The sequence below is a fragment of the Homo sapiens genome, chromosome 2, assembly GCF_000001405.40.
Source record: "Homo sapiens chromosome 2, GRCh38.p14 Primary Assembly".
Taxonomy (NCBI): Eukaryota; Metazoa; Chordata; class Mammalia; order Primates; family Hominidae; genus Homo; species Homo sapiens.
The window spans coordinates 161,075,401-161,087,159 of record NC_000002.12 but is presented as its reverse complement, the minus strand read 5'-3'; the positions used below and the strand labels follow the sequence as shown (position 1 = coordinate 161,087,159).

General features: G+C 36.8%; 1 annotated feature.

Annotated features, from left to right (window-relative positions):
* Positions 1,648-1,942: an enhancer, noted in NCBI's record as "tiled region #6450; K562 Activating non-DNase unmatched - State 23:Low". NCBI's record gives its function as "activates a minimal TATA promoter and a strong SV40 promoter by Sharpr-MPRA in K562 cells {active_cell/tissue: K562}" and the evidence as "EXISTENCE:reporter gene assay evidence [ECO:0000049][PMID:27701403]".

The window sequence follows — 11,759 nt, the reverse complement described above, 5'->3', positions numbered from 1 at the left end:
TCTATTTAGTAAAACCTTGTTATTTGGACAGAGAAAACCAAGGGCTAGGGAAGTTAAATTGGCCATAATCAATACCGTGAGTTTTTTTTCTTTTTTTTTTTTTTTTAAAAAAAAAGCTAAGACTAGAACCTGGTTCTCTAGTACCAAATCCAAGGCTGTTTCCTCTGAGATGGTTGCAGTTTCAGAATAAGAGAAAGAACCTCTTAGTCAATCCCACAGTTTAACAAAGCTGATTGGGAAAAATGAAAATATTAAAGAAAACATGTTTGTATAGTATTTATGTTTAGTGATGTTCAATCAGCATTTATTTATATTATAAAAAATTAGAAATTGCCTGAACTGTCACAGAAAGGAAGGTTGCTTGGTAAAATACCATTTCCATTATACAATATGAAAGAAAATAATTCAGCCATTAAAAACCATGTTCTTGAAGCCTATTTAAAGATATTGAAAGATGGTCATAATAAATGGCAATTCATGACAGAAAGCAAAGTTGAAAAAGCATGGGTTAGATGCTAAGCATTACTTCTAAACTACTAGGCTTTGTGTCTAAGGCTACACATTTCTGAAGTTTATGGAGAGCCTTTAAATGTCAGCATCAGTTTTAACCAAGAGCTCTTTTCTTACACAACATCTAAAAATATCTATTAGTTTAACTTGTCAGCATGTAAAACATTTGCTATGATTTTTCTCATCGTATCACTCAAATCATGTCAGCTAGAAAGAAAAAACTGCTTGGATAATCTGGCAATGACTAATGTTATTTGCTGAGATTTTCTGGAGGCTATTTAGCAGCAATTTAATAATTGTTATAATCATAAGAAGCCTAATCAAAGAGTTCTATTTACTGCATATTTCCACTTAGGTATCCCATAAGCAATTCAAACTCACAATGTCCCAAACTAAACTTTGTGTATAGTACCAGTATCCATTTAGTTGCCTAAGTCATGAACTTTGAATCATCTTCTAATTTGTGTATTTTTAGCCTGGATTACTGTGAAAACATCTAAGTCTTCTCTCTAAATCTAGGCTTGAACCCCTCCAATCCATTCTCCACTCTGAAGATAGAAGAAATGCTCTAAAAAGGAAATCAGATTATGTTACTTCCTTGTTTATAAACCTTTATTGGAGTCCCATTGCCTTCGGGATAATATAAGCTCCTTGGCATGGCCTTCAGGGCCCTATATGATCTCTATCCTGTTTTCACCTCCAGACTGAAAGCTTGCTGGTTCTCCAGATATGCTCGCCTCTCAATTGCTGACTCCTCATCTTTCTGGGCCCCAGTTGTATGTTGCCTCCTTTGGGAATCAAGGCCAATTAAGTGCCCCATTCAAGGAACTTCCCTGGGACCAGGATGTAACATTTTATGTTGTAGTTGCATGTTTACTTGTGTATCTTCTCTCTTAAAACTGTTAGCTCCTGGAGGACAGAGATTTAGTTCTGTCCACTCTGATATCATTAGCATCTATCACAGTGTGTTACTACTTTAAAAAGAATCTTTCCTCTTTCCATATCATTAACAACATGGAGGACTGGAACAGAAAGGATTGCTTACCCAACATTCACGCCATATGTATTGCCCCACCCCACCCCAGCCTGCCAGTCCTTTTTCACAGCAGAACCAGATTGTGTGCATATATCCATCCTCCAAGTGTTTCAGGGGAAGCTGACCACAAGGCTGATTTGTCTATGACAATTATGTTAATCTCCTCCCCCTTGCCTGCAGTTGGTTTAAGAAGGGTCACATGACTCAGCTCTGGCCAAGGAGGTTTGAGGAGTAGTCTGATGGGGGTTTCTGTGAAAGGTTTCCTTGCTTCTAAGAAAGAGACACAGGAAGAGACGGTTTGTTTTCTCTTGGCATTTTTATGACAAAAACCACTATAGAATTTTTGTTCCCATGAAGGGAACCAGCCTGGGAATAAAGCCAACACATGAACAATGGCTGAATGGAGAGGTAGAAAGGACTTGGGCCCCTTTCGGCATAAACATTGATTATACTTCTTGGAGCCCACCCAAGCTCCAGACTTCTTATGTAGGATAATCAATTTTCCCATTGTTGAAGTAAATTTGAGTTGGGGATCTCCGTTAATTGTAGCCAAATACCTATAAAATGATAAAAATATATATTAGAAATAGGCCTTGTTCTACTGATAATTATTCTCCTGGTATAAGAAAGTAGGCTTTCTTCCACTGGGAAGTATAACACTAGGCATAATATAATTGTACAACAGACCTGAACAATTGAGGTTCCAATAACTTGGAACAGCAAGTTATTCTTGCCTTACATTCATATATAACTTATTTATATGCTCTCGTTGGGTTGTTTGGTGGCTTATACAGTACCCAAAGAAAAATGACATTTGATATTTTGGAATTTGAGGCAACAGAGAAACCTCACTGCATTTTAAGTTGCTGAAGTCAGTATCAACAAAGTTAGATAACCCATAAATTAACTACGAAAAAAAAAACCAGCTTTAAATTTTTTAAAATATTTTTTAAAAAAATAATTAATTTTTTTAAAATAATTTTTTAAAAAAATAATTAATTTTTTTAAAATAATTTTTTAAAAAAATAATTTTTTAAAAATAATTTTTTAAATTATTTTTTTAAAAAAATTATTGAGGTATGGGTAGACATAAAGTCTCTCAGATGCTAACAATTATAAAAAAATTAGAAAATACAAACAAATGTAAAAAATGTAAAAAGTAATGCATAGTTTTATTATACACTGATAACTAATTTTAATACTTTGATGTATTTCCTTTCAATCTTTTAAAAATAAAAATATAAAGATACACATTATAAAAATATGTAAGTATATGCATAGCTTTGACTCATGTGTTTTCCACTTAATATTTTTTCATAAACATATTTCCATGCAATTATTTTTCCAAACTGTGCTTTTAAATAGTTGTATAATATTCCATCCCCTACATAGATGTGTCATCGTTTAACCACTCACCTTGGTTGACTCTTTTAGGAGTTTCTTAACATTTTTATCATAAGGCAATATTAAGAAGAATATTTCTGGGTACAAAACTTGGATTGTATCCTTAGGGTAAATTTTAATTTACGCTGGTCTTTGGGCTATCTATTCTGTTTCATCTTTCTGCCTATTCTTACATTGGTATCACTTTTTGAAAACTATAATAGCTTTATAATATGTCAATTTCTAATACAGCAAGTTGTTCCACATAAATTTTCTTTTGAATAATTTTCTTGTCCTCATGTTTTTTCCCTAGATAATTTCTTTAAAAATTGTCCCAAACGCCAAAAAAACTAATTGAGCTTTTGATTCAATTGTATTAAACATATATATTGACTTGGTAATAATTCACAATTGTATAATATTGAATCTTCTTATGTTTATTTATATATCACTCCATTTATTAAGGCTTCTTTTATGTCGCTCAAAAATATTTTTAGTTTTTCCCAATTTCTTTTTAAGATTTTTTTCTCTGCTTTTCTTTAAATTTTTTTTTGTTGTTGCTATTGTAAATGTTTGGGCAAAACTATTAAAAGTATCTTATTGAAAGCCTGACCTTTTAGCATCAGGCTATTTTTTTTTGAAGATGTTCACATTGGCATCTTCTGGCAACAAAATATGACTTTCATGAAGTATGAGGCAGGAATAGTCACATGCTCTGAGTCCCAGTTCTGTCACTAATGGTAACAATTTATAAAAAGCAAACCTCTTCTTATCTCATTTTATAAATCTAAGAATAAATATTTAATATGACTTGAACATATGCCGTTTAAATCTTTCAATCATTGCTTTAAAAAATTAAACCTGTAAAAAATTATACCCTGGAAGAGGTAAATTTTAAAACAAAATTTTTCCTTTTCTTCTTTATATATAAAGCAATATAAGACCAAGTACATTTGGTTTCAAAGACTTGATGGCTCACATAATTATGTAGAACTAATTAATTCAAAATCTGTTTATCAACAGTAGTCTGTAGCTACAGCATTTTCTCTCAGAGGCATTAACAAAGGCTTATCACCTGCTTTCTTGTTGCAGTTTGTCTCAAAGGCAAATCAATACAAAAAATGTAAAAATGCTATTCCCAGAACTAACACTTTCAGCAACTTACAAGAACTTTTAGTATCTGATACCAATTAGTTTTCTTAGCTTAAATTAAAACAGTTTTATTTTAGCAATGAAATGTGTCAAAATACTAAGGATTTTAAAGGGCATAATAAAGTTTTACCAATGATTTTTTAAATTTAGGTTATAGATTTGTTTATTTATATATGTGCATACATTTTTAATTAATATAAAATAAAGCTATTACATACTTTATAGATTGTACAACATAATGTACATTGCACATACCCACATTACATGCATATGGAAATAAAAGAATCCATATCATGGGCAATATCTTCCTTTGTATAGTATCAATGAAATAGCAGAAATGAGTTATCAATGAATGTATGTATCTGATTTTTGATAGGTTTCCTGGATCAATTAGATCCCCCAAACATTATTCAAATTATTACATTTCTGTAAGTTCACTGGATAGAACAGTAGGTAAAATGCAACAGTGTTTTGAGTTAGAGAGAAATACTTATTTGCTTTTACAGAAAAGAAAATGAAATTTCAGGAATTGAAATTCCCCTTTCCTCCTGTTTTTAAAAAAGGTCACCTGTCTTTTGAAAAATTAAAAGTGCTCCTTGTAAATTAAATGAACTTATTCCTTTTTTTAGTTCATTTTTATAGTTGGCTTTGCAGGATGAAAGAAAGGGTTAAAATCTGCTTCTTTTGCCTCAGGATGCCTGAGGGTTTGGCCCTTGTTCTTATGCTGCTTACAACACAACTCAAGGAACTATTAAAAGTTTCCCTATGAAAACCTACAGAATGTGAGAAAATTTTTGCACTCTATCCATCTGACAAGGGGCTAATATCCAGAATCTACAAGGAACTTAAACAAATTTACAAGAAAAAAACAACCCCATCAAAAAGTGGGCAAAGGATATGAACAGACACTTCTCAAAAGAAGACATTTATGCAGCCAACAAACAGGAAAAAGCTCATCATCACTGGCCATTAGAGAAATGCAAATCAAAACCATGATGAGCTACTATCTCATACCAGTTAGAATGGCAATCATTAAAAAGTCAGGAAACAACAGATGCTGGAGAGGATGTGGAGAAATAGGAACACTTTTACAGTGTTGGTGGTAGTGTAAATTAGTTCAACCACTGTGGAAGACAGTGTGATGATTCCTCAAGGATCTAGAGCTAGAAATACCATTTGACCCAGCCATCCCATTACTGAGTATATACCCAAAGGATTATAAATCATTCTACTATGAAGACACATGCACACATATGTTTATTGCAGCACTCTTCACAATAGCAAAGACTTGGAACCAACCCAAATGTCCATTAATGATGGGCTGGATAAAGAAAATGTGGCACATATACACCATGGAATACTATGCAGTCATAAAAAACGATGAGTTCATGTCCTTTGCAAGGGTATGGATGAAGCTGGAAACCATCATTCTCAGCAAACTATCACAAGAACAGAAAACCAAACACTGCATGTTCTCACTCATAAGTGGGAGCTGAACAATGAGAACACATGGACACAGGGAGGGGAACATCACACACTGAGGCCTGTCGGGGGTGGGGGTGGCTAGGGGAGAGATAGCATTAGGAGAAATACCTAAGGTAGATGATGGGTTGATGGGTGCAGCAAACCACCATGGCATGTGTATACCTATGTAACAAACCTGCATGTTCTGCACATGTATCCCAGAACTTAAAGTGTAATTAAAAAAAAATCTAAGAAAAAGTCAGGAAACAATAGATGCTGGTAAGGGTGTGGAGAAATAGGAACGTTTTTACACTGTTGGTGGGAATGTAAATTAGTTCAACTATTGTGGAAGACGGTGTGGAGAGCATTAGGACAAATACCTAATGCATGCGGGATTTAAAACCTAGATGACGGTTGATAGGTGCAGCAAATCACCATGGCACATGTGTACCTATGTAACAAACCTGCACGTTCTGCACATGTATCCCAGAACTTAAAGTAAAATTAAAAAGAAAACAACAAAAAAAATCTTATCCAATTCCCTACATGTTAAAGCATTATAAATAAAAATATATTTTTCATCAGAAAAAAGTTTCCCTATGCCAGATCTAAAATAAATGCAAGTTCTATTGTCTATGAAACCTAGCACCTGTACCTTACTGTTAACATTGTCTATCAAGTAGCGAGTAACCAGTATTGATGAGATGCAGCTGCACAGCTAGCGAGGTATGAAAGGTGAAGATATGCCAGAACTGATGGTGCTATGGTTTGAATGTCCCCTCTAAAACTAATACTGATATTCAGTTGTCATTGTGATGGTGTTAAGAGGTGATTAGGGCCGAGTGTGGTGGCTGACATCTATATTGCCAGCACTTTGGGAAGCTTAGGAGAGCGGATCAGGAATTTGAGGTCAGGAGTTCAAGACATGGTGAAACCCTGTCTCTACTAAAAATACAAAAAAATTAACAGGGCATGGTGGCATGCACCTATAATCCCAGCTACTTGGGACGTTGAGTCATGATAATTGCTTGAACTCGGGAGGTGGAGGTTACAGTGAGCTGAGATCGTGCCACTGCACTCCAGCCTGGGTGAGGGAATGAGACTGTGTCTCAAAAGAAAAAAAAAAGAGGTGATTAGGTCGTGGGGCTCTGCCCTCATGAATGGATTAACAACATTATTTCAGGAATAGGTTTGTGATTGTGAGAGTCTGTCCCCCTTTTTCTCTGTCTTGAGTGCTGTCACTCTTCTCACTATATGATGCTTTCTGCTGTTATAATGCAGCAAGAAGACCTTCACCAGATATGGCTCCTCAGTCTTGGACTTCCTGGTCTCCAGAACCATGAACCAAGGAAACTTCTTTTTAAATTACCCAGTTTGTGGTATAACAGCAGCAAAAAACAGACTGAGACATATGGCTTCCTTGAGCTTAGAGATGCTGTGTCTACTCAGCTTCATCTGTCATTATGACCATACATTTCCCAAGTGTGTGGGATTTGGACATTGGAAGCTGTGCCTAGGAGTTGCGAGACCTCTACTACACTGTTACTTTACATACTGTGCTGTTACTTTTTGATTCTTTCTAAAAACAAAGTAAATTTGGAGTTAAGTGAAGTCTTTTGTGTCTCATGAGTTGATTATTAATCTGAACCCAAGTTGAGCAGAGTTGGAAAATTTTCATAGCAATAAATTATCCTCTGTATTCTAACTTAATCCTTCTAGTCTCAACCGCCAAAGCCCAAAGGGTCTACAAAGAGGAAAAACCTACTTGATAAATGGGTAGGTAGATTCTCATTATGACTTGACGTTAATGTCCCTCTCAGCTCAGCAACTTCAAACACTAAATTGTCAATGACCCTAATGGTTTTCTGAGATAATAGAAAGTACCATCATGAGAGAAAGAGGTATAAAAAACACAAAGGGAGAAAATCCTATAATAAAATGGCATGCAATTGGCAGCCACTGATTCAATTTCTCCCACTCGCCCACTAAATGTTTATGAAATACTGGTAAAAGGCAAACCTCACATTACCTCATGCTAAAACTAAAACTGACAGATAATCTATTGCTAAAACCTATAAAAATTTGTATCCATTTCCACAAGGAAATAAAAGCAGATTGAGGAAAAACAATTTTTAAGTTAGCTAATAATTGCCTCCTGAAATATAACAGGACAGCTAAGCTGAAAGAAGGTAAAAAGCCAAGTATTTCTCCATGAGCCCTGCTGATTGGTCCAGGGTTTAGAACAATCAAGAAAAAAAATGGATGACAAAAGAAGTACTTTTTGAGGTATACTGTTCTTCACTCCCACTTTCCACATCAATTCATAAACACCCTGGAAGGGAATGGGATTGGTGGCATGCCATTGCATCTGGGGAGATTTGGTCCCCACAAATAAAGCACTGTAGTTGAATGTAGTACTTGAAGAGTCAGACAGACTTGCCACTTACTAGCTAGGTGACTCTAAGTGGGTTATTTAACCTCTCTCTACTCAATTTCCTCATCTAGGGTTGCTGTTAGTATTAAATGAGATAGTGAATGTACAGCACAAAGCATAGTACCTTGTACAATGCTTTGTTCAATAAATGGTAGGCATTTTTATTATGACAAGGGTAGAAAATGGGAAAGTTCTAAGAGTTCTAGGAGTATGTGTGTGCATTGTAGGTTGAGGCTTTGTTTTATGCTCTATGTTCAGTGTGTCAGAGAATCTAGCCATGGAGTGAGAGTGGGGTGGAGTGAGAGTGGATTCTCTGTTAGTCTTATGCTGTCATATATGACGAATGTTTGTCCAGGTACTTGTCATTTTAGCCAGATTTCCAGCTACACAGTCAATGAGGGGCTCACACTTAGCTGAATGGATAGGGTTGTACAAGCCACAATCCCTGTCTTTGGTAAAAGACAAAAATTGACACTACAACAAAAAAACTGACATGGGTTATGGGTCTATGAAAAAAATACTGCACAAAAAAATGGCTTGGAATCCTAAATAATATGGAGGAATACACAAACTCTATGAAACAGCAACAAGCTAATTAGCCACCTTAAACACTGAAGAGTTGGGTACCTCATTTCCCCTCATCATCTCTACCCATTTTACCACCATTCTGGGTGCCCTCTGTCTCTTCCTGAATGACCATTCTGTTGTGGGCTAAATTGTGTTTTCAGCTCCATCCCCATTCATATGTTGAAGTCCTAAGTTCTATTGCCCCAGGATATGACTATATTTGGAAATGGGGTCTTTAAAGAGTTAATGAAGGTTAAATGAAGTCTTTGGAGATTGGTCTCAATCCAATATGACCCATGTCCTTGTAAGGGAAGATTAGTTCACAGACAGAGAAGAAAGAACACTTAAAGGCACAGGGAGAATACGGCTACCGACAAGCCAAGACAAGCCTCTGAAGAAAGACCTTGCTCACGCCTTGATCTCAGAGTGCCAGCCTCCACAACTGTGAGGAAATGAATTTCTGTGGTTTAAGCCACCCAGTCTGTGGCACTTGGGAAGCCCTAGCAAACTAATATACCATCCAATTGCTTGGCCTCTCAGTTTCTTTATTTTCTCATCTCTAGGGACTTTTACTGTGTTTCTCTTCAGCCCCTCCTCCCAGGGCAGCACCCTGATGCTGTCATGATCCAGAACCTTCTGAAATATTACATTCAAATCTGTACTGTTGGGAAATCTCTGACCATAGTTATACTGCCTTGTGACCTTCACATTTGGCTACTGCCACCCAATCCTTCAATGTCACCTGTGTCCCCAAATAAACCCCACTTCTTGCTCCCAACTCCCCCGTCATCTTCCTTGTCAACTGAATCTAGACATTGTGGTTTATCACTTCATCCTTTGTTTTGTCAGTATCTTTAAACCTGTATTTCCTTCCATAGTGACAGCCTCGCAAAACCCCAACCCAGCTGTTTTCCCTGAACTCATACAGTATTTCTGAGCAGTGTTAAAGGAAACCGCACAGCCACATCATGTGTTCTGAACCATTGTAAAGTCATTTAGGTCTTCAAGCCTGTCCCATTATCTCTTCCCTTCTCTGCAGCTACTATTTCAAACTTCCTCTATTCTCTCTTCAAAATTTGGCTCTCACTATGTCCAACAGATGACTTCACTTCCTATTTTATAGGGAAAATTGAGGTCACCAGAGAGAAATTTCCCCCAGTTCTGCCAACTAATCTGTAAACATCTTCATTCTCACTAGTCATTCTTTGTTACCCTGTATTACACACGAATATGTGCTCCTTTTCCTTCCTGAGGTTAATTCCTTAATAACCCTTTGAATTCCATTTCTCACAGTTCTTCCAAGGCCTCACACTTTTCATTGTTCTTTTGTTCTCTCTCATGTTTAATTCTCTACTTTCTCCCCTTATCTGTTCCTTCTGCTCACTATTTAAATACTCTCAAAATATCCCAGTAGCCCCTGCTACTTCTGGAAGCGTGCCTCACGCCTCAGTGTGCTGGGGCAAAATGTTGGAATGAGCCCCACTGACACACGGACATACAAAGTTTGTTTGTTTGTTTTGAGATGGAGCTCTGTCACCCAGGCTGGAGTGTAGTGGCGCGATCTTGGCTCACTGCAACCTCTGCCTCCCGAGTTAAAGCGACTCTCCTGCCTCAGCCTCCCGAGTACCTGGGATTACAGACGGCTGCCACCATGCCCAGCTAATTTTTGTATTTTTAGTAGAGATGGGATTTTGCCATGTTGCCCAGGCTGGACTCAAACTCCTGACTTCAGGTGATCGCCTCAGCCTCCTAAAGTGCTGGGATTACAGGCAGGAACGACCACGCCTGGCCTGGCATTGTTTTAAGTGTCTTTCATATTTTAACTCAACTACCACACAACAGAGCTCTAAGAAAGTCACGATTTTTTCCATATTGGGCAGCTTAGAAAATAAACCATACATAATAACAGAACAATAACAAAAGCAAACATTTACATGGCACCTAATATTAAAAATGCTGTACATTATTACATGATTTATTTCTCACATTAACACTATGAGATTGGTACTATGACCGTTTCTGCTTTACAGAGTGTGACTTCTAAGGATACCCAGTTGGCAAGTGGTAGAGTCAGGATTAGAACCCAAGCAGTTTTAACACATTGTTAAATGTGTTAGCACTGTTTTGAGAAAATCTTTAATCAAAAAGCAAATCAAAAGTAAGACCTGAAGAAGGAAGAAGTCACGGAATAAAAGAATCATTGACTAATTTCTGTCCTACCAGCTCCACTGCTTCCCAGCTCTGTGACCTGAGGCAAGTTGTGTAACCTTTGTGTCTCAATTTTCTCATTAAAAAAAAGGAATAATAAGATTATTTATTTCTTTGGTTGTGAAGATAAAAATATGTTAAAGCACATAAAGTGCTTATATCAATGCTTAAGAATGTAAGATGTACTAAATCAGGGGTGTCCAATATTTTGGCTTTCCTGGGTCACATTGGAAGAATTGTCTTGGGCCATACAAAAAATACGCTAATAGTAATGATAGCTGAGAACAACAACAACAAAAATCCCCCAAAATCACATTATGTTTTAAGAAAGTATGAATTTGTGTTGGGCCACATTCAAAGCCGTCCTGGGCTGCACGTGGGATCAAGGCTGCGGGTTGGACAAGCTTGTGCTAAATCATACTATTTTGTTTTTCTTACATCTTCTCAACCATGCATAATTAATGATGAACAGGAGGTAAGGTGAAAAGGAGGCTGGCAAAATCTCTCCTGAAGGATTTACATAAGTGACTTAATTCCTTTTGGAATGTCCCTCTGCATTGCTGCAATGAGTACAGCTCTTAGCCCAGGAAAGAGGAGTCTCTGTCCAGGTCCTACAATTTAGAGGGCCCCTTGTATCACACATAAAATGAATTCATTAAAGAATGCATGGGTGCCTCTGTCACTTGGTAATCCTAAAAATTCAGTCTCAGGACAAACACCATTCAGGCCACAGAGAAATCCTTCTTCAAATCTGCTTGATGGCCTCAAAACAAAAGTCACCCGTTCAAATGGCATGGAAGTGTATGGGTTGAAATACTATTGGTATGGAAGACACACACTACTTGGAATCCAGGAGCAGTGGAAACACTGAGCTACATGAAAATATAAATGTCTAACTTGTTAAATTCTCCCTCTTAATTAACATGCATGAAATAGATTCTTGTTATGGTGAAGTATCCCAGTGCTGAATGTCTATTTTCTCGCTTCACTTCTTGTTCCAATTTG